At 37.5% G+C, this 24,673-nt stretch overlaps 1 protein-coding gene across 4 annotated transcripts in view; it reads left to right on the forward strand.

The window, feature by feature from the left end:
* Window positions 1-24,673, forward strand: part of DCC (DCC netrin 1 receptor) — a 1,195,703-nt gene that overhangs the window by 409,338 nt on the left and 761,692 nt on the right. For all 4 annotated transcript variants that reach the window (NM_005215.4, XM_017025568.2, XM_017025569.2 and 1 more), the window contains exon 2: window positions 2,520-2,840. In NM_005215.4, coding sequence (NP_005206.2) covers window positions 2,520-2,840 — 321 coding nt within the window. The remainder of the gene's footprint in view (window positions 1-2,519; window positions 2,841-24,673) is intronic.

The following is a 24,673-nucleotide window of genomic DNA, read 5'->3' on the forward strand; positions in this document are numbered from 1 at the left end:
TGCCTATATCCCAAAGCCATATATTCAAAATATAATTGTTATAAAGAGTACAAAAAGCTCAAATTGCCATTGAACTGCAAGGGTAATTGTGTTAAAGTTGATCTATGTACTCACAGCACTGAAAACTGTCATAATCTCCTTGTTTCAGACTAAGTGGATTATTTATGTGTGATAATGGGCACATATGCTCATTAACATGCTGTCATAAACAGCTGTGTTAAATGTATTATGTGTTCTGTGACATAAATAAGGTGCTTAACATGAGGTTGTGTTTAAAATATAGGCCCCAGGAAGAACAAAAAAGCAATACATGCTTTCTAATATAGTTGCCTGCTCTTGAATTTCAAATTTATTTCTTCTTTATTAATGCTACTTGTATGGAAATTGTGGGTATTACTCTAGCGAAATATCTTGGCATTCAAGGACATTAGAACTTCTTTCTGCTGTCTCATCCTTAGTGTTTCTCAAGCCAGGTTTGCTAGCTTGTGTTTCTTTTCTGGTAGAGGAAGAGATCACGTAGACATGGGAAAGGTATTTTCAGCAAAATCAGCCTTAAGTGATTCAGCAAGCTTAGAGCAGGGTTCATTTGACAGATGCTCTCAATTCAATCTTGTTCTAAAAGCCTCCAAACTAGATGTTGAACTTAGAGATCATCTAGTTCAACTTCTTAATTTTTGCAGATGAAGGAACTGAGTTTCTGAGGGCTTAAAAGACCTTTCTGAGTCATGAATTTTGAAGTGATAAAACCAAGACCTAAGGCTAGATATCCAGACAGCCAATTCAATGTACTTCCCACTAGAAGAACAGGATGTACTATAATTGGGTTGACTACACCAAAAGGATCTGTGGGGAGAAGGAGCTTATTTGAAAATAAAGACACCAGGCTGCTGTCATCTGGGATCTTTATCAATATCCATCTATAATAGAGTTATGTGCTCACCATTATTTTACAATTTATATTAATTCAAGCAAAGTTCCAGATGCTTTCTGAGTGAGTGGCCAAGGTGAAAGGAATGAATATATGACAGTGAGCGACACAAGACATCATTGGGCAGAATAACAGACTTCAAACGTAAGTTTTAGAAAAATTGAGTATGCAGGAACGAAGCAAATAAAACCAGGGAGAAACCGTAAGAAGCTGTTCTGCTTTCTCTTCACTGTAAAATGGGGTGTACAAAGATAGAAATAGTTCTGTCCATCAGGACCAGTATGAGTTAACCCCTTATGAGAATATGGATTACCTGCAATTTAGATGCCTGCCTTTTAAATGACAGAAGATTGGAATGATTTTACAAAGTACAACGAAAAGTGTTCCCATTACAGAAAAATGAAGGAAGCTAATGAAGTCAAGGTTGCTATCGTGGAAAAAAAAAATGAAGACTAAAACATAATTTAGGTGGTATTTTTTAAGAAATGAAATGCCATTTCAAACAAATAAAGGGCTCTTAAAGAAAATGTCCATCTCTTCTGCATTTTCACACAAGGTGTTTCAGGAGAAAATGGGATTAAACATCAGCAAGAAAATTCAGTTAGACTCTTAAAATGATTAAATATTGAAAACAAGATACCGAGGGACATTGTAGAATCTCTAGCCCCAAAGATTGTTCAAAATGAAATTGAAAGTAATTTGACTTGAATGATTTAAGTATACACCTGTCTGAGCAAATGGTGGAGCCAATGACCTCCTGAAACCTTGTCAAGGTCTTTGACTCAACATGTGAGTATTCTGTCAAATGCTATACTGCCAGCTTCAAAAACAATATACTTTAACTGATTATACTTGCTTCCTCCCCTCAAGATTCTTAAATGAATTTCTATTACCCTTGGTTGATTCTTTATGTTCATTTACGTTTATGAAACAAATTCAACTGTAATATTTATTTAGATTTCCAAGCCCATGAGAAACATTTGGATGAAAATTAAGACCCTTCAGGGATTTGTGATTTTAGGTAGTAGCTTTATTGACTTGCTTCTGCCAGTGGGATTTACCTATTTTAAAACCCACCTGAGCTTTGTCCTAAATAACTTTGCCCATGCTGTTCAGAGTTGACTTTTATTCTTATAGAACCCTGTATCAGATTGGATTTTTTAAAAATTTCAATGGATGCCATAATCAGAATGAAGAGATAGAAATAGTCTCCCCAAAAGTCTTAGCTACCACACTAATAACTATTGCTACTTTAAAATATCTAATTTTATTTGGAAAATATTAGTTTTTTCTGTCTAAATTTTCATGTACTGACTGATATGTGGTAATAAGCATGCCAGGATTTATATGAATTTGTAATTTCTCATAATATTAACTTTTGGAGCCAATTGTTTTCTTAATTATGATTACCTCGACTGGGTACTTTTTTGCTTATTTAACATAATATCCTTGATTTTAGTTTTTATTTATTCTTGGACATTGTTCAAAGCCCTCAGCTTTTGTGAAAAGCTTTGTAAAGAAAAGACAGGGAATCTAAGCCTGAGATTTATTTGAATACATGAACATATTTCCCTGTGCTCTCTTGTTCCAGGTTTTCAAATTAAAGCTTTCACAGCACTGCGCTTCCTCTCAGAACCTTCTGATGCCGTCACAATGCGGGGAGGAAATGTCCTCCTCGACTGCTCCGCGGAGTCCGACCGAGGAGTTCCAGTGATCAAGTGGAAGAAAGATGGCATTCATCTGGCCTTGGGAATGGATGAAAGGAAGCAGCAACTTTCAAATGGGTCTCTGCTGATACAAAACATACTTCATTCCAGACACCACAAGCCAGATGAGGGACTTTACCAATGTGAGGCATCTTTAGGAGATTCTGGCTCAATTATTAGTCGGACAGCAAAAGTTGCAGTAGCAGGTAGGTGGATTCTTCCTTCTCTTCCTCCTCCTCCTTCCTCTCTTCTTCTTATTCATTTTTGGGGATGAGAAAATAATTTTTGTAGAAATAATGTACATTTTAAAAATCTTTTAAATTTTAAGTTGACAAGTAATTATATATTTTTATGAAGTACAATGTCATGTTTTGATGTATGTATACATCGTGGAGTGATTATATCAAGCTAATTAACATATCTGTCACCACATACTTCTCTCTTTTCTGTGGTGAGAACATTTAAAATCTACTCTTTTAGCAATTTTGATATATACGTTGCTGTGCAATAGATATTAAAAGCTTATTTCTTCTCTCTCACTGAAACCTTGTGCCCTTTGACAAACATCTTTCCATTCCTTACCACGCCCCATCTTCCCAAGCCTCTGGTAACCATTCTGCTCTCTAGTTCTATGAGTCTGACTTTTTTATAATAGATTCTACCTGTAAGTGAGATCATGCAGTATTTTTCTTTCAGTGCCTGGCATGTTTCCCTTAGCATAATATCCTGTAGGTTCATCTATGTTATCACAAATAACAGGATTTACTCTTTTTAAAGGCTGAATAGTATTCCATTGTGTGTGTGTATGTATATCATATATACACACACACACATATATATATATATCTCATATTTTCTTTACCCATTCGTGATTGATTCCACATCTTGGCTGTTGTGAATAATGCTGCAATTAACATGGAGTATAGATATCTCTTATATACCCTCATTTCAATTCCTTTGGATATATACCCATAAGTAGGATTGTTGTATCATATGGTAATTCTAATTTTAGTTTTTTGAGAAAGCTACATAACCATTTTTCATAATGGCTATCTAATTTACATTTTCACCAACAACGCACATTTTTAAGAAAAAGGAAAGATGTAAAAAGATTCATGTTTATTCTGTCATGGATTTGACTGACCTTTCTCCTTAAATTATCTTAGAAAACAGTCATAGGACCTCAACTGGCTGCGTAAAGTTATGAGATTATTTTTTTAAACAAAACTGTTTCAAGTTGACTTACTACTTATATCTAAGGGAGGACTTCTCATTAACAGAAAAATATTAGAAAATATAATTTGCTAATTTTACTTTACAGCTTCATTAAATGCTAAACTTTTGCAGAGTCCATTTTTTTGTTGTGGGGCCTTAAGAAGAGTAAATTTTATTTTAATTATAGTGGCATGGCCTACAACATATACATGTCAAGTAAGAAATAAAAATTCCTTCTAGTGCTTCCAAATTTCTTAACGCTTGGTAACATGTTGGCTCAACAGCTGAGTAATAAGATGAACAGTTTTTGTTTTCACCTGGATACACTGAAGTCATGTAGACTCTGAAAAAATGGTACTGACCATTCTGGAACCCATGATATTGCTATTTCTGCCCCACTCTTCTGGTTAGAAGGCAGCTCATAATTATTTCTGTTGGCCCCTGAAATGTTAGACCTGCAAAGTGAAGAATCAGTTTTTTTACTTGTTTCTATAAAGATTTGACCAAAACCTGTCTTTTTTTTTAACTTTTATATTGACCATAAAGCAAGGCAAGCAGATTGAACTTGAAATAAATTTAAGTTATGAATGGGTAAGCAGATTTGAAGGGCTGCTTTCAACGTAATCTTTAGTTCTCAATAAAAACAATATTGAATCATAGGCTGTTTAGTCATTTGTTATGGGTTTTCTTTCCCAGGTCCTACTTAGTCTAGTCTCATCTTGGAAGACTGATCAGAATAACTCATTTTCATCAATAACAGGACAATTGGGCAGAATCACCACTCCTTCATGCACTCTCCTAGTGAGGGTCTGAGAAAGTTGAAATCTGAAAGATGTGATTTTGTCAGGTGGTGCTATAAAGAATTACATCTCATAGATATGTGGTTAATTCCCATATGTAGCTTCAAACCACTCTTCTGTAGCTTTTCTCCACTAAGAACTCTGTAGACTGAATGTTTTTTCTCCCTAAAATGTGTATATTGAAATTCTAACCCCCAATGTGATAGCACTGGGAGGTGGAGCCTTTGAGAGATAATTAGATCATGGGGTGGAGCCCTCATGAATGTGATTAGTGCCGTTATAAAAGTAACCACAGAACACCCCTGCTCCTTTCACCATGTGAGGATACAATGAGACGTCTGTAATCTGCAACCCAGAAGAGGACCCTCATCAGAAACCAATCATGCTGGCACCCTGATCTCAGATTTCCAGCCTCCAGAACTTTGAGAAATCAATGTCTGTTGTTTACAGCCTACCCAGTCCAGATACTTTGTGATAGCCACCCAAACTGATGAAGGCAGAGTTTTCCATAGTCAGTTAAGCCAGATTTTACCTAGAGGTAGACTGGCTAGCCATTCTGCTTTTCTTTGGACTGACTTGGCTTTTGCACTTGAAAGTCCCATATCCTGGGAAGCCACCTCAGTGCCAGGTAAAACCAGGACAGTGGGTCACTCTACCTCAAAGTGTCCCTGGTCTGCTTTAGCAATGACAGACTGAGGTGCAGATGCAGAAAACCCCCTCTACTCAGGAGACAGGCCAGGTGACATCCTGATGGTGAAAATCAAGGCTATAAAGTAACTGGAACCTTGGAGTGATGAGTGTCTGAAATTTGATTGATGAGTATAAAGTGTAGAGAGAACTGAATGTTAATGTTAATTATGATTGATTAGGAGAAACAAGTGGAATAAATCCTTCAGATTTGGTAAAAGCAGCTTTCTCAGAATGCTCCAAATGAAGTGGAAAGGGGACAATTTGACTTTCAGTCACTAGAGAATTTCTGGCCTCATAGATCCCACCCATCAGTTGTCCACAAGGCCAGAGGAGGTCTGCTGATTTGAATGAAGCAGGCTGATATTTTGATGCCTTATTATGAAAGGCAGCTGCCTATGCACTGTTAATGAAAATGGCCTGTTACATTGCAGTTTCAGTCTTCATGCAATCTACATTCACATTTACATGTGCTGTCTTTCAGTAGTGAAATGAAGAAGAGTTCCTTCGCTGTGAGATATTAAAATACAGTGGCTTGGACTTTAGTATTCTGTACAAGGATAGGCACACGGATTCAGTCACTGAGTTAAAATCTCATATTAGATTGTATCATTTCAAGGCAATAAGGCTGTTCACAGCATTTTAAACACTTACCATGCTGTTTGGCAACACAGAATACATCAATGTTATGTCTGCTGAGGTTAAGATTGCCAAACCACTAGAATTCACAAGGGGCATATATCTTCCCAGTAATAAAGACCATGGACCTGATTTAATCTCAGTTTTAAAGCATTAGCACTCAATAAACCAGTCACCACTAAATGGTAACAGTAGGCTTTGCTTGGGTAAAACAACAACAACAAAAAAATGTTTTGTACTCTCAGGTGCTGTATAGAGCCCATATTAAATAATGTCCCTCTTCCATTTTTGCTTTCTCAAAGTGTCTTTTGATAAAAAGAAGTGTAGCAAATGAAATCTGTCTTTAATCAGTCAGCACATTTTACACAATGATCTTGCCATGCACCATTCATCCTATTTTCTAGGAGCTTCTCAAGTGCTCTTAAAGGCTTGAGTGCACACTTGGCTGGAGAGGGAAGGAAAGTAGGAAAGATAAACGAAGAACTATCATTCCATCCAACATTTTCTTAAAAGTTGCAAAGTAACAGGCTACTGACTCTCAGTATTTCTAGTCATTTTGAGTTCTATCAGTAAAGAATACCTGGGCTATTAAGCCTCCATTTGAAAGCAACTTCATCATACTGGCTGAAATTTGGGAATTTTATTTTTATCCAATTAGCTCTAATCTAAAATGCTGCAGTGTTTCTGTGCCATGTATACTTCTATTTAGTCCTCTAGATTGAGAACAGCTGAAGAAGGGAAGCAGCGCTGAACTTATCTATGAAGCTTTCCTACCATCCCCTCTACTGTGTATCTAGCAAAGTATGTCATGTTAATAGTAGACATTTGCCTTACCAATGAAGACCTGGGGCTTTATGCCATATAAAGAGAGCTTTCCGCTGTTGCCATCCTCCTCTCTACCTCTCCTTCTTTGTCTCCCTTCTACTCCTCCTCCTTCTTCACTGGATTTCAGCAGATCAAACTCACCCATATATGTGCATACATAAACATACTCTTAACAAACTGAGTTGGAATAATTTGCTTTATATCTCAATAGCCTACAAATTAATTAACTATTGAAAACTTTGTGATTAGAAAATTGACTGTTTGGGAATATTCAAGTGCCACTTAAAAAGGAAAAAGCATGAGCATTTCTTCATTCCTTCCCTAACCCTTACCGTGAAAATGAACTTGCATCTGGCCAAGCACATCTTCCCTACTCTAAACGTTGCCAGCTATCTGAGCCTCTGGAGTATTTTCTGTTCAGCAGACATAATAATAACCTACCTCCCAAGGCTGTGGTAATTTTCAAACAACATCTAGGATGTAAAGCTCTAGTGCAGAGTAGATTCTTATTCAATGACAGCCATAGTATAAATAGAACTAACAATTATTATTATTGTGTTATTTTAATAATTATTAGGAATGAACAACTTTCAATATTCCCATGTGATGATGCAAAATATTTTTTTTCAGGGCAATGAAAAATAGGCAACAAATCCTGAGACATACATATTGTAATCTTGGATCAGATATCTGCCTTTGCAATCTGTGAACACAAACTGGCAAGCCTGAATTAAGTTTTCAAAAAGTTAAATCTATGGGAGATTTTTTGGCAAGCAGTGCCCAAATCCCTTGGAATAAAAGATTCATTTTTGACCACTGGATCTACTATTATGTTAATGCAATCAATACAGTTTGTACTGACCAGAGCAGGCGTTTGAGATTGAGTGACCTTGCAATCATTTCCAAAACATGTACAGGGCACTCCTCTCAGCCTTCTTAATGGCTTTTCAACTGAAAAAGATTCACTGAAGCTGGTTCATGGGAGTTCACTTGGTCTCGACTTGGAGTTTAACACAACTGGTACCCTCCTGGGGATGAGGAATTAATTCTAATATGTAAGAAGACTAGATAACAATAGATTTCCTATGAATAAACATAAAAATCCCATTTTATTTTGCTTTTTTATACAACCATGACCCCCTGTCCACCCTTCCCCACACCTACCCACCCACACAGCTCCTTGTCCACTGACTTGCCCTGCACACTCTAAGGAGCACGGTTGGAGCCTAAGTGGTACTTCTGCTTGCATTTATACTTCTGGGGATGGCGTGGGACAGGCTCCTCCAAGGGTAAAGCAATGTTGACTGCTGGATACATTATATTGTATTTGTGTCCAGGTAGATTTGTCTTTGTTAATTTTTCAGCATTTACATTTTAACATTAAAACCACTGACTTGCTTTTTATAGCAGTTTCTGCTTCAGAAAGTGAATCTCTATACATTACCTTGTAATGCTCAGAAACTGTGATTTAAGTACCCAAATTGACAGGTTAAGAACTTACTGGAAAAAGCTAAGAGCTCTATGGCCAGAGATTGGGACTTAGATAGTCTAAATCCAGATGCACACTTATTCCCTTATCACTTTGCTTCTCAATCTAAGGACTAGATTTCAGAACGCTGTAAACAATTTCTTATGTAATCAGTCATTTATTTTTAATCAATGAAACTCTCCACAATACAAATTAAGGAAAATAACAATAATGGTAATAATGATAATAATAATGAAAATCGATTTATCCACTTAGTCCCTTGAAAATGTCAACTCCTTGTGGGAAACACTATGATTTAGATGTTTTCTTCTAAGATGAGAAGATTTTGCTATCATAGCTATACATTCAATAGTGACACATGACAAATCTGTGTCAGAAAAACAGACAGCATATAATTTTTAAAATAAGCTCATAAATAATGATCTTTCTAGGAACACAATTTGGTAATCTTTTATCTTTCTAAGTGGTTTTACAATTCAGGCGAAGTTTGCATATTTTTTTTCTGCTTCTTAAAAATCAAGAAAATAAAAGGCCAACTAAATTGCATTTCTTGACTTGTTATTTCATTCAGGGACATATTTTTTTCTTCCCTATTACAATAGATGTTCAAGATGCAAATTGTCACACTCTGCTTTTAAATAACACCTGCATTATAATTAAAATTCCCCTGTGTTTTTAAAAAATAATTAATTACTTGAGGAGTTGTTTCAGTGAATTCTCTTCTAGAATGCCTCCCATTTAAATGAGTTATGAAATAATTAGTGAAAGCATATTATGGTGAGAGAAGCTAGAATGAAGCATTTTGTGAAATGATAACCTGACCTTTATGTTCTTACTTAAAAGAACCTGAAAAAAAAAAACCTTAACTGAAGAGAAGGAAGAATAAACCACATTGCCTCAGGTCACTCAAATGTTATATAAAGGAAACACCAAGAAAAATGTTTATATTCCTTCTCTCTACAGGAGCAAATATAAGAATTTTGCCTAGAAGGTCAACTTCATCCTGTGCAGCAGTCTGGAAAATGTATCCCAGGGCCCTTGAATACGCTCAGAATTCTATTTGGGAAGGTTTGGTTACAGTGCAGAGCTTTCCATTTTACATTTATAGAGATATTGTTTATTTTCAAATGATAAGCAGAAAATTAAATTGCTCTGACTCTGTAATTCTTAATGACTTAATGATCTTCATTTAGCTAAATGTTCCCATTGTTTTGTAGTTAAAGCATGAGAGAAAGAAAAAATAAGAAATAAATGTGGTCTTATAAGTAACTGTTATATGTTTACTAGTCTTATCATTTTTCTTTAATTTTATTGCTAAATCAAATTGAGATACAGCCATCACCAATATTTCCCCAACGCCTATTCCATCACACAGCCCCCACACCCTCAACTTAAATAATTGCATTTTAAAGAGTAGGGTTTTAGTTGCCTCCTTCCTAAGTCAATTAACTCTGCAATAAAATTAAAATACAAATATATTCCTGAAAAATATGCAGAGTGAAAAGACATCTTCTACATTATAAAATTTACAATAGAGAACTTGACAAGGCTTTTTATAGTAGAAACATCAACAAAATAACCTAAAAAAAATTTTCAACCTTTCATTTCCTTTTCTTTGTTATGAATTCTAATTCATGTGACAATGGAAATAGCTAATTATTCATTCTAAATTTAATCAGTATCTTAAGAGCTCTGTTCTTTTATTCAACTCTTAAGCTGTCTACAGTTCGATTTTGCTGGTACTGTAATGAAAATGCAAGAGAAACATCTAACACAACTCAGTAATAGTAACCAAAAACTCTTTTGAATTTTAGAAAACCTTTTTGGAATACAAAAATTTAAGTTTCTTGAAAAACGTCAAGATAAAAAAGATTCAAATCATAGTAATGTGAGAGAAAATAATGTAATATCTGTTCCTTTACATCACAAGGAAAATATATTACACTGTTAATCTTGTTAATCTTTAACAAAACACAGATTAACAAGAAAAAAGCATAACAAATTTATTTAAACAAAGTTATACACAAGTAACTTTCAGAAATGAAGACCCAAACCCCTAGGGAAAGCTTTATATTTTTATGCTAAGTCTTATCAGAGAAGTGGAGAATTGTGGAAAAACATGATTGGACAGAGAGCATAGACAAATGGAAATAAACTGGGGGAACTTGAGTAAGGTCTGATTGTTCAAATAATTGTCTGCACCTCTGTATGATATTCCTTCCTGTATTAGTCTGTTCTCACACTGCTATAAAGAACTGCCCAAGACTGGGTAGTTTATAAAGGAAAGAGGTTTAATTGACTCACAGTTCTGCAGGGCTGGGGAAGCCTCAGGAGACTTGTAATCATGGTGGAAAGGGAAGCAAACATATCCTTCTTCACATGGCAGCAGGAAGGAGAAGAATGAGAGAAGTGCAGAGTGAAGTGGGGGAAAGCCACTCATGAAACCATCAGATCTCATGAGAACTCACTATCATGAGAACAGCATTGGGGAACAACCCCCATGGCTCAATCACCTCCCACGAGGTCCCTCCCACAACACGTGGGGATTACAATTTGGGTTACAATTCAAGATGAGATTTGGGTGGGGACACAGAAGCAGACCATATCACTTCCCCGGCTATGGGGCAGGACTCCTGTCACATGAGGGTTTCTTTTATGGACAGCTCTCACATAGAAAGGTGGGAGATAGTCAGAGCGTGACCTCCAAACCACCACATTTTGGTGTAGCATGTCCTGCACCCCATCATTAAGTAGAATAATTGTAGCATTACATTAGATAGCACAGTTATACAATTCTGATGAAATAATGATGGATAATAACTTTATGAACCTATTTCTGGTACTGATTTTTGTCCTATTTTTATGTGTATGGTAAAATATATTATTTGGACTCAATAACTGTATACAAACACATTTGAATTAAGATATTAATATTAGATACAAAGCTTTTCTACAAAGTAAAGAGACATCAAAACCTAGAGTGTGTCCTGGAAGCCAAGTAAATTAATTAGAGGAAATCATGGAAAATCTCAGTGTATGGTACTTCAACCATCTTAAACGTCTACTGTCATAAGCAGTATATATAGATGAAAGTAATGAATACAGTTAGTGAACACAATTACTTATCTCCCTGTAAAAAGTTATTGTTAACAGTCTTTATATTTATAATCTATATCTGCATACTCTATAATAAGCAGTCTAATACATTGGTCATTGTATTAGTCCATTTTCACACTGCTGATAAAGACATACCAGAGACTGGGAAGAAAAAGAGGTTTATTACAGTCTACATGGCTGGGGAGGCCTCACAATCATGGCGGAAGGCAAGGAGGAGCAAGTCACATCTTACATGGATGGTGGCAGGCAAAGAGAGAGCTTGTGCAAGGTAACTCCCCTTTTTAAAACCATCACATCTTGTGAGAGTTATTCACTACCATGAGAACAGTATGGGAAAGACCTGCCTCCATGATTCAATTACCTCCCACAGGGTCCCTCCCACAACATATGGTAATTCAAGATTAGATTTTGGTTGGGACACAGTCAAATCATATCAGTCATTATGCCTATCATTGCTAAATTTGCCTATTATTTGGTAGAGGTAAGAGAATAAATCAGAAAAAGCCATTTGGATTCATGAAAGAGCGAGATAATTTTGACCTAGCAAATCAGTTGTTTTGGACCTTGAATCATGAAGTTAACATAAAACAATAACAATAAAACAACAATGATAAATATTTCTGATAGAAATTCAATAATCAGAGTAGGTCCCAAATTTCCAAATTTATCTTTTCATTCTATGTTATACTGGGAATGAACAAACACAAACCCATGCACACACACACACCTGTGACTCTTAGTGCTCTAGCCCAGAGTTCTTTGGAAGTTTCCTGTTAAAAGACAGAGCCTTAGCCTCAAAGGTCAAAGCGCTTCCACTGAAAAACCTTGTTTGAAAAATTCCCTCTGTAGTCTCAGCTACTCGAGAGGCTGAGGTAGGAGAATGTCGTGCACCCAGGAGGCAGAGCTTGCAGTGAGCCGAGATAGCGCCACTGCAGTCTGGCCTGGGTGAAAGAGTGAGACTCTGTCTCAAAAAAAAAAAAAAAAAGAAAAAAAAAAAGAAGAAGGAAAAAAAAGAATTTCCACAGCATCTGAGGAGCAGCTTTTAGGTCCACAGAATTTATCACAGGTTCTTAACCAGCGCTTATTGTGAAATGTAACTCAGGTATCTCTAATTGGGCCAGATGGAGCTATGGAGTTCTAATTTCTGGAGGGCAGTTAAGCCTCAAAGTTTGGTTTCTCAGAGTAGCATGTCTACCTTCAGAATCCCAATGAGCATGTGTCAGAGAAAAGTCACATTTAAATAGTTTGATAGGCTGGGCATGGTGGCTCATGCCTGTAATCCCAACATTTGGGAGGCTGAGATGGCAGGATTGCTTGAGCCCAGGAATTCAAGATCAGCATGGGCAACATAGTGAGACCACTGTCTCTACAAAAAAATAAAAAATTACCTGGCTATGGTGGTGCATGCCTGTAGTCCCAGCTACTTGGGAGGCTGAGGCAGAAGGATCACTTGAGCCAGGAGATCAAGGCTGCTGTAAGCTGTGAGTGTGCCACTGCACTGCAGTCTGAGTGACAGAGTGAGACCTTATCTCAAAAAAAAAAAAACAAACATTTTTTAAACAAAAATTTAAAAAATATTTGATAGGTCTCAGTATATCTGGGGCTGGGAGTGGTGGCTCATGCCTGTAATCCCAACACTTTGGGAGGCTGAAGCAGGAGGATCACTTAAAGACAGGAGTTTGAGACCAGTCTGAGCAACATAGCAAAGTCCCATCTCTACATAAGATTTAAAAATTAGCCAGGTATGGTAGTACATGCCTGCAGTCCTAGCTACTTAGGAGGCTGAAGTGGGAGGTTGCTTGAGCCCAGGAGTTTGAGGCTGCAATGATCTATGATTGCACCACTGCACTCCAGCCTGGGCAACAGAGTGAGATCACAACTTAAAAAAAAGATGGTCATATATGTGGGATATAGTTTGTGTGACAGGATCTGTATTCTATCACATCTGCATATTTCCCGTGATGATCTGTAAAGGAATGAGTTTACACTATTTACATCCTAACTTAGGTTACCCAGAGATATTTAGATATAAACACAGTACACAGACACATTCACACACCTTTCCATTTAGATGGCTCTTCCTAGATAAGCTTCTGTATCTTCAATCTACTGATGAACACCATGGTCATAAAATCTGCTTGTTGATTTATAACTCCTGTTCTTTTCATACACATTTTAAAAATCTGCTTTAAAAAATCAGTTTCATTGTAACCCTGAGGCTTTATCACCCTTGAAACAGGCTGCTCATCAGGTTCATTTACTAAGATTTTACCTGAAACACTTCACCAACTAGAAACCTATTTAAGAAAGTATGTTAAAGATTAATAAAGCCTATATAGCTTCAACATTAAATTTCAGTGCTGGTTGGTTTTATTGGATTGGATTTTTGTGGTCCCTTTTGCAAAGGAATTCATCTCCAAAGGCTGAAACATGACATAAAAAATAATTAGTATTTCTTTGATGCAGAAGGCACAGGTTCCAGGAGCATCCTTTGAATCCCACAGTGCATTGGGCACTCCATGAGCCAACCTTGTGGCTATTTTTCTAAAGTTGTTTCCAGTTATGTCCCAGCCCAGGAGTGGCCAGGTTTGGAATATGTAATTGCAGATAAAATAAATGTTCTCTTCCACCTCAGTATACACATTGTGAATATCTGGGATTTGTTTATTTGTTTTTATTGGGAAATAGTTTATATACCATAACATTTACCCTTTAAAAGTATATAATCCAGTCACTATTAGAATATTCATAAAATCGTGCAACCACCACCACTATCTAATTCCATAACATTTTCATCACTCCTATCTCCCCTTCTGCTCCTGCTCTGGAAAACACTTATCTACTTCCTGTCTTTGCTATTTAACATAAATGAGATTATCTGATTATCCTGTGGCTTGTTTTTTCACTTAATGATATATCTTGGGCATCTTCCTATATTTGTTCTTACAGATCAGTTTCATGGTTTTTAATTCCTGCATAATATTTCATGGTTTATGATTCACATATTGAAAGCTATTCTATTTGTTTCTGAATTTTTGCTTTTGCTAATAATTCATTAATGAATGTTCTTGTATTTAGTAAATGCTCTTCTGTACATACCTTTGACAAGTCTTCTTCTTACCTAGTGGTGTAATGACTTAATCAAACGGTATGAACATTTTGATAGAAACTGGTATATTCAAGAGCATTTTATTAGCCTGGACCTAAACATTGTAAGCCAGGATTTGTTTTACTGCTATTGACTGAGCATATAGAGCTGGGTTCTTCTTAACTTGTAAATATCATTGAAGCCTACTGCCTACTCTGATAAGAATAGTGACGAGTTGACACTGTTAATGAATAGCCATAGGCATTTGTCAGAGAGAATCTTATACATGGAAACCTAGAGGAATGCATCTCATCCATGTCCTGGGTTTCTGACTATGGTTTGGATATTCATCCCCTCCAAACCTCGTGTTGAAATTTGATCCACAAGGTGGGGCCTAATGGGAGGTGTTTGTGTTATGACAGTGGATTTCTCAGAATGGCTCAGTGCCATCCTCACAGTGATAAATGAGCTCTTGCTTTATTAGTTCCCAGGAGAGCTGGTTGTTAAAAAGAGCCTGGTGTCTCCTCCCTCTCCCTCTTGTTTCCTCTCTTATCATGTGATGTCTGTACATGCTGGCTTCCCTTCACCTTCTGCCACAAATGGAAGCAGCTTGAGGCCCTTATCAGAAGTAGATGTTGGCACCATGTTTCTTGCACAGCTTTCAAAACCGAAAGCCAAATGAACGTTTTTTCTTTATAAGTTATCCAACCTCAGACATTCCTTTATAGTAATACACATAGTCTAAGACAATTTTCCATGTACTGATTTGTGTCTCTTCTGCTGTCTGTAAAAAGAAGTTTCTAGTAGATATCACTCCATGAACTATCTTGGGATTCCTCTTAGGTCCAAAATAACAATTTTTCAGGCTCTGTATATAATGTCAGACCCCATAGAGTCACATCAGCATACCATAGAAGAATGAGAACTCTTTCTGGTGGCCTAAATGTCTTTTAGCATCTGAGTCCTGCCTATACCTCTAGCCTCATTTTCTTTTCTTTTTTTTCTTTTTTTTTTTTTGAGACAGATCATTGCTCATGTTGCCCAGGCCGGAGTGCAGTGATGTGATCTCAGCTCACTGCAACCTCCGCCTCCCAGGTTCAAGCCAAGTAATTCTCCTGCCTCAGCCACCTGAGTATCTGGGATTACAGGCATGTGCTAGCACTCCTGGCTAATTTTTTTTTTTTTTTTTTGTATTTTTAGTAGAGATGGGGTCACCATGTTGGCCAGGCTGGTTTTGAACTCCTGACCTCAAGTGATCCTCCTGCCTTGGCCTCCCAAAGTGCTAGGATTACAGGCATAAGCCACTGCACCCAGACTCTAGCCTCATTTGTAACCAAATCCATACTCATCTCTTCATGTTTTACAGCAATTTGATAAATGTGCATTCTGGTGCCACGGCTTTGCACCCTTTATTCTATATGCCTTATTCTCTCATACATCATGCTAGCTCTTGCCTTTTCTTCCTCAGACTCAGTTCTTGCAACCCACCTTCAGGAACCTTTAACTGGCCCCCTAGACTAGGAGAGGCTCCATCTTCTTTGTGCTCACCGTAATCTATCCTTCCCTCTGTCATTGCATGGAGCATATTACACTGTATCTTTACAAGGCTCCTAGACAAACACGCCTCCTTCCCTGGCCAAAGATCTCATAAAGACACAGACCATGTTACATTTGTCTTAGCTTCCCTAGGCAGTGAGACTCCACAGAACCTTGCTAGTTGTGTGGGGTAACACGGTGGTTAGGGACACAGGCTTCAGAGCTAGTCAGCCTCAGAATCTATCTCTTGGCCATTCACTAGTTCTGCAAACTTGGGACAACCATGGAAACGTTCTGGGCCTAGTTTTTTCATGTATTAATGGCTATGAGATAGTGTCTATCTTCTATGCTTATTGTGAAGATTACCAAATAATGCTGAACAGAGGACCTAAAACATAGTGAAGCAGGACGTTTCCCTGACCCCTTCACTGGACTCGCAACAGGGGTTCTTCCTTTACTCAGCCCACTGCTCTCAACTCCTTGTGGAGGGAGCGTACAAGTGAACAAGTCAGCAACTGGAGTACACAAGTGCTAGAACCAGTCGGCCATTTTGGTGCCGGTAGGATCAAACTCTAATCACTAGACCTGCTGCACACCCTTCACAGGAGGGAGCGCACAAGCGAGCAGGTACAGGAGCCAGAGCAAGCACTTTTGGGCGCCAGCAGGAGCAAACTCTATGCAGGCCCCATGGCAGCATCCAGGTGGGGTGCCTGCAATTCCGGAAGGCCCAGAGGGTGTGTTACAGTGCTTTCAGCTCTGCCATCTGCAGACAGCTTAAGTGTTAGCAGCTCAGTGGGCCCATAGCTACCCTCTGCCAACTAAGGCAAAGAGCCAGTGTGACAGCCTCCTGTATCTGCACTCATGGCTCCCAAGCTCTTGTCCAGCATCCAGGAAATATAAGGTTGCATGAATAAATTGAAGGATGGTAAATGTGGGGGATTTTATTGCCGATGAAAGTGGCTCTCGGTGGGAAGAGAAGCTGAAAAGAGTACAGTGTGGGGGAAGGGTAGGTAATCTTCCCTTGAAGTCTGGCCATCTCTGGCTGAATTCTTTTTTGAAGTTATGCCATCAAGCTGTTCCTCTGAAGTCAAGCCACTTCTCTCCAATCATCCGGCTGCTTCTCCCCTCTGCTGGCTGAGTATGGGGTCTTTACAGGCACATGATGAGATGCGGTGGGGCCATGGGTGGTTTAGGAAAAGGCAACATTTGAGCAGGAAAACAGGGATATAAGTTCTCCTTTTAGGTGGTGATTTCAGGCTTTTTAGCTTGAGGGTGAGATTTTGTCAGGGACCGACCCTTTTCTGCCTAGAATTTCTCTGTTCCCTGTCCCCATCAATGGTAAAAGCTCAATAAGTGAGGCTTTATGAAAAACAGAAAATCAGGGTAGTATTAAAGATTCCCCAGGTACCTTGCAGCAAATAGGAAGAGAGAATCCCCATGAAGAAGGCTTTTTCTATGTGGGGACACATATCCTGTGTCTTTGCTGCTCTATGAGTATTGGCCTGTTTCCCATGCAAAGTTTGTTCTTCCCCATCTAGGTGGGCCCTCTGCAAACATACGAGATTATATTTATCTTTTTAAAGTTCTTAGCACCAATATTGTAGGATCAATACTTCTGCCTGAAGTAAATAGGATCAATCAAATAATGACTGTGCTAGAAAGTAGTTGGATAATACTCAGGGTTCATGATTTTTTTATTTGATGATATTGAAACACATCTCTTTAACCTCACTTAGCAAAAGTCAGAAGTAAAGTTTGTCATGGCTTTGAAGAACTTTCTATGGGTCAGCAAACCTTGGGACAATTTCACTACATTCTAGGAAGGCATGTAAACTACCTATTGGCCAGCTACTCCAGGCAGCCTTTAACATATCACAAAAGTAAATGGTCATTACAGACATAAAAATAATGGGGTCAAGAGACTCATGCTTATTATGACTTGAATTAACAACTATGTTTTCACACAAATCTTCATTATTTATAACTGGCTTAGACAATTATCCCTCCTTTTACGCTTGTTGGTTTCTTGTGTTCAAAAACTGCAAGCAGTTACTTTATTTTGCCCGAAGGTCTAAATTTGTTTCTTCCAACACTAAGCCATTTTTCCCAAGTCTTATTTTTCCCTTGAATTTGTGTAAATACCTGTAGTACAAACGTTTCACTTTAAAAAAGGGCTTTTTAAAAGCCGTTTTTCTAGGAAATATTTTAATAATCAGCATTATTTATGTTGCCTGTGTAGTTATGTAAATAATTTCAGCCTTTCCTCACAAACAACTCTTATAACTTAACATGCCTTCAGAAAATGTGAATAAGATTACCAGATAATGCCTCCCCAGTAAGCATGTTAGCACTTCAGGAAGAAAATGTGAGTGCTGAGTTGAGAATGTGTGTTAGGCACAATGACAATAACAAGGAGGATTACAAATGAAATAGCGCTACAAATAGCACCACAGTTTGGAGGAGGAAAGCAATTTGGTGAAGTGAAAGATGTTAAATGTTTTAATTTTCTTCTATGCCAGTAAAATCTTGTAAAACAAGGTGACATATTAAATTTTCTATACTACAGTCTCTCCAAGAGCCTGTCAACATTTTCATTGTAAACTCTATTTTCAGAGCTTTATAACTCAGCATTAAGAATTCACTCTGGCTTGACATTTAGAGTGTAAGGTCTTACCTGGGGAACATGTGTTTCATATGTTTTAAAAATTACGAGTTTATCCATTTCTCAGTTTATAATGAGTAACCTTTTCACACTTTTTCCCTTGTCTGCTGTGCCTCAGAAATTGCAGGGAGAAGGCTTACCTATGGTAAATCGCCAATGGGGGAAGAATCTACAGATGTGGTCAACACAGGTCAGGGCTGCTGATTTTCATTACTGAAACTCACAAAGAGCTTCTGTAGAAAGCAAAGAGCTCTGCTATGCTGCCCTCAACATTTCAGACTAGACTTTGTGCTATCCAAGGGGTATATTTTACCACGACAAAAACCTGACTGATTGCAGAATTCTTAGTCCCCTGTCTGTTTATTTCAACATTTGTATTATGTTGTGTCTGGCATAAGACCTTTTTCTAAAGCTTTACAACATACACCCTAATCTTGCTTCTTTGTTTTTAAGTCTTCTTTGCATGTGTTTGTGTGCATGTGTGTGTGTGCATGTGGTTTATTTTCCACCTTTCTGTCATTATTTAGCATAGGGAGGTTTTCAGTCAATATTATTCAGTAATACGGCTACCCTCTTTATACCTTGAAATACCTACAGTTTAATCTCTGGAAGAATTAGTTTTTAGAAAGTTAGAATTAGAAAAGGGTGAGGGAGAAATAAACAAGGAAGCAACAGAAGAGAAAAATATCTGTGGCCATTTGATATCAGACCTTAAAATGTCTTGAGGACTGAGTAACTACCATGGCTTCCCAAAAGGATCATATGTGGGTTGTCTAGGAAAAAAATGGAATTCCTTCAATAAAATACATGGTAGCAAGTCTTCAGTTCTAGGTTATTTCAGGAGAATCCTAGAAAATCATCACTTCCTGATATGTATTGAGAATTATTTCACTCCCACCTAATTGCATTGTATTTTACATGGCTGACAAATTATCTTCCAAAGTGGATATACCATTTTGCATTTCCACTAGCAATTAATGACAGTTTGTTGCTCCACATAACCTTCATCATTTGATGTCAGTGTTCTGACTTTTGGGCATTCTAATTAGACGCATAGTGGTATTTCACTGTTATTTTAATTTATCACTTCCTAATGACATATGATATAGAATATCTTTTCATATGCTTATTTGCCACCAGTGTGTCTTCTTTGGTCAGATATATGTGCAGGTCTTTTACCTGTTTTAAAATTGAATTATTCATTTTTTTCTGAGTGTTAACAATTTTTGTATATTTGGTTTGAGAGTCCTTTATCAGATACGTCTTCTGTAAATATTTTCTCCTGTTCTGGAGCTTGTGTCTTCATTCTCTTGATGGCATCCTTCATGGAGCAGAAGTTTTTAATTTTAATGCAATTCAGTCTATCAATTATTTCTTTCAAGGATCATGCCTTTACATATTGTTGTATCTCAAAAGTTGTCTAAAAGCCATCTCTATACCCAAGATCATTTAGACTTTCTTCTATGTTTTCTTCTAGTTTTATAGTTTCATATTTTACATTTACATCTGTGATTCATTTTGAGTTAAGTTTGTGAAGTATGTAAGGTCTGTGTCTAGATTATTTTTCTTTTGCATGATGATGTCCAGTTGTTTCAGCATCAATTGTTGAATAAAACTGTCTTTCACCATAATACTGTCTTTGTTCCTTTATCAAAAACCAGTTGGCTATATTTTCAAAACATTTTTAGTGTGTTTATTTCTTTCCATGTCTATTAACACCATCCAAACAGAAACTGCCATCATCTCTTGCCTGCTTCTCCTAAAACAGTCTATTAATTAGTTGACAATATATTTCATACACAGAGGAGAGTTGTCTTTTAAAGCATTTGAAGTTGGTGGATGATTTTCCACTGCTTTTAGGATCAAATATAAACCTTTAGTGAAATATAAAGCCCTGTGGAATCTGGCTTCCTCCTGCCATCCCTTCTCTCTCTTTTCCTCTCCTTCCTCCCCAGCCAACTTCATTTCTGCCAATTTCTTCATAATGCTCCAGCCATATTTTTTTTTCACTTCCTTGAGCATGTCTCACTTCCTCCCACATCAAGTCTTGGACTATGGAGTAATTTCGTGGAAATCCTAAACGCAGCTGCCTTTGGTTTAGCTCATTGCTCTGTTCATTCTTTAAAGCTGTTTTGCTGTTTCTTTCTCTGAGCTATCTGTTGAGTGTTTAGGTATCACTGCTAACTACTATCGCATACCATGCCCTCAATGTCCTTCATAACAATTGCCAATTATAATTTCATTATTATTTGTTTAGCACATGCCTTCCTCACTAGAGTGAAGGCTTCCTGAGAGCAGTCAGAATCATATCTGTCATCTTTGCTGTTGTATTCACAGTGGGCACAGTATTATAGTGTCTGAATGTCCTACCAGAGTCATGGGCAGTGACTGAACTGGAATCATCAGAACTGCAGAGCCAAGGAGCTGAGGGTTAAGCTCAAGATTACTGGAGCCCAGGACTTCTCTATTCATCTAGGAGTGAAGTAATCCAATGAAAAGTCAAAAGACTTTAGTTATCAGTGTACAGGGAAAACCTAGAGAACAAGGACTTGGTGAGTCATGGAATCTTGGACTTAGAAAAGATAAAAGTCTGCATGTAGAAGTCAGTAGTTTTAATAGTGATCTCACATTCAGAGCATTACATGATTCAGGGTTCATCTTCCTTCGCCATCCTTCAAAGCACATAGTCCAGAGATCATTTCGTTTTCTATACATGGTTCCTCACATGCTGAGGAAGACGGGACAATGTTCTTGGCCTCTCCTTCCCACTGGGCCTCCACAGGGGAAAATTAGCAGCATTCATTTTTTCCATTTTAAAGAAATAATCCGCTTTTCTTTTCAGAAAGCAGTTTTCCAATGCTCTGAGGTTTACGTTCATGCCTCACTGGGCCTGATTTACTCAGTGTCATCTGAGCAAAGAGGCGCCCTGGGATGGCCCAGCATTAGAGCTGGTGCTTGAGCCCAGATGCACGCACAGAATGGTACATGAAGCAGGCAGAAGGTGGAGACCATATATTTCTTTTAATGCAGTAAAGAAAAAGTATTCACATAGAATGAATATTTAAATAAATGAGTAATGTAATTATTTTTCAGTTCCATTCAATTAAAAAATATTTATTCAAATTAAAAGGGAATATGCCTGAGCCCCTTACTAGCTGACATTGGTGATTTCTCTAGCGCTTTCTCCCTTAGAGAGCCACTAGCCTTCTTCTCCTTCCAGAGGCTGGGGATGCTCTCACTTTTCTTTCCTATACTCTATGGAGGGACAGATAAGCAGGAAACTTCCTCTACATAGAAACACTAGTGAGTCAATTTCCAAACCCAGAGACATTTTGGTGCATTACACTCACTAATATAACATGGAGACATTGTTATCAGAGAGGTCTCTAACAAAGTTTTCTCTGTGCTATTTTATCTATGTGAGGGAGGTGGGAATTTCTTCAATATCAAAAACCTCCTTTAATATTGAGCAGTTTTTTGCACTTGATCTTAGCCAAAAGGCCAAGTAGCACTGAAATGTTTTTTGTTTGTTTGCCCCCTCCACACACCTTCTCTCTCTAGTCACCTCTCTCATATTTTAATTAACTCGTAAGTTCAGTGCTTCTCAAATTTGGTGTGTAACAGAATCTTCTGTAGAAACTTGTGAAAAAAAAAAAAAAAGAAAAAGAAAGAACAAGGCCCAGGTGTTCTATCTCAGTGAGGCTGTTGTCTTTATTAGCTCCCCAGGTGATTCTAATATATACCAAAGTTTTAATATGTCTATGGTTTCATGTTTACACGAGATAACACTATGCTTTGTTACTCCATAATATCCTCTTTTTTTCCTAATGTGGTTGTTTACTCAATGATACATTCTTTTTACTTACTAGAGTTGAATCATTTTTGATTCTTGGAAGCTATTAACTATCAGATTCTCTTTATTAGAAGTTATTGTCATGACAAACACTTAGGTAAATGGCGATTTTGTCAATTTATGCTGAATATCTCTTGGTTTAGGAACTTTATGTTAACTGTTATTCTTTTAAGACTAGACCATTGTACCATGACTAAAAACAGACAGTAAACCATGGATATCAAGAGAATAATAGCGAGAGGTTTGTAAGTGTGTATTGTGGGGCACCAGCAATTTATTTTTCAGAAAGCCTTATTAAATGCATCTCTACGGATTGCCATGGTTTATGGCAGAAGTGATGTGATGATTTGTATTAGAGTTTTAATAAGTTTAGAGTTGAAAAATTTATTCTGCTTTCAGTTCCTTCCCTCTGGCTGACAGTTAATGTCCAAGGTACTTAATCAGAGAAACTACCATGGGAGGTCTAATAATACTGTGCAACAAAGGGAAAAGCACATCTCTAGGATCAATTTCAGAGCCAGCTGTATTTTCTCCTTAAAGAAATAATAACTCAAATGAGATAAGGTCCTGCCTTCAAGGAGATTTCAGTCCAGAAAAAGATCTGATCCATCACAGTGCTTTTGTTTTTTATTATATTGGGTGGTGTTTTGTCTTTCTTTATTTCTTTCTTTCATGGTAAGGACTCAATGGAAGCTGAAATTCCCCGAGGAGTGTTTTAGCATCTTATCTCTAGTTTCTTGCCTCTAAAAGTTGAAGTTACAGTAGCACAGTATACATGTTTCTCCTTCTTGCTTATCCTGGAGACTTCCTGCTTAAATATATATTGAAATGGTTGCAAATATTTTCATTGCCAAGAAAATAAACTGCAAATTGTTTGGTTGTTTGGCATTCAGAGTGCTATGGGCATAGATCCTTGATGGCAGATTGACTGTATGGCTATAGCTATCATATGATGACTCTTCAATCCCTTTATGACTTTTATGAGAGAACCCCACCACATCCTCCAGAGGCTGCTGTAACGATTAACAGCAACTGCAAATAACTTTGCAAAAGGAAATTATACTTTGAGTGGAAGAGCCTAGATTTAAGGTAATGAAATCCCTGAAAACTATAGCCTATGTGTTAAGATTTATTCTTTAAGTTGGTTAGATATCAAACTATGATTCTGGCCTTTGAACTCTTAATGGTGAAGATTTTTATCTTACATGATGAACACATTACAACAATTTTGTTATCTGAACATTGAGTAAGTTAGTAGCCACAACGAAGAGGTCAGCCTTATATTTTATATCCTTAACTATGAGTTCTATTTCAAGATGATGTATTCACCAAATCTTTATTAGTTTCCCCAACAATACTGTGGGCATTGATATAAAAAGTTTATAGGAATTGAAAAATTAACCCCCCCAAATATATATCTCTATATATCTATATCTATCTATTTATCTATCTATCTATATATTTTGAGACAGAGTCTCGCTGTGTCTCCCAGGCTGGAGTACAGTGGTGCGATCTCGGCTCACTGCAACCTCTCCCTCCTGGGTTCAAGCAATTCTCCTGCGTCAGCCTCCTGAGTAGCTAGGATTACAGGCATGTGCCACCACACCTGGCTAATTTGTTTGTATTTTTAGTAGAGACGGGGTTTCGCCATGATGGCCAGGCTGGTCTCAAACCCCTGACCTCAGGTGATCTGCCTGCCTCAGCCTCCTAAAGTGCTGGGATTACAGGGGTGAGCCACTGTGCCCAGCCCATATATATATATATTTTTTAAAGGTGGGAGTATATATACAAAAGACAACAACAATTTGTAGGAAAGATAAATCAGATACAGGGGGAAGACAGATGAATCAAGGCTGTTGAAGCTGCAGCCAACCAAATTTCCCCAATAATAATTTCCACAGGTGGTTGTTAAATTTACCAGTTTGTAATTACCAAATTGTTGTGGGGCCTGGCAAACCACTCTGTAACAGGGGCCCCAGATGCTTGTGATATTCAGAATGATTAGGTAAACTGTGGCGTGGAGCCATGGCTGTCAGAAAGTGTGGTCCCTGATCAGCTGCATCAGCATCATCTGGGAACTTGTTAAAAATGAAAATTGTTTAGCTTTATTCCAGATCTGTTGAATCAA

Source organism: Homo sapiens, chromosome 18 (genome assembly GCF_000001405.40).
Source record: "Homo sapiens chromosome 18, GRCh38.p14 Primary Assembly".
Classification (NCBI taxonomy): domain Eukaryota; kingdom Metazoa; phylum Chordata; class Mammalia; order Primates; family Hominidae; genus Homo; species Homo sapiens.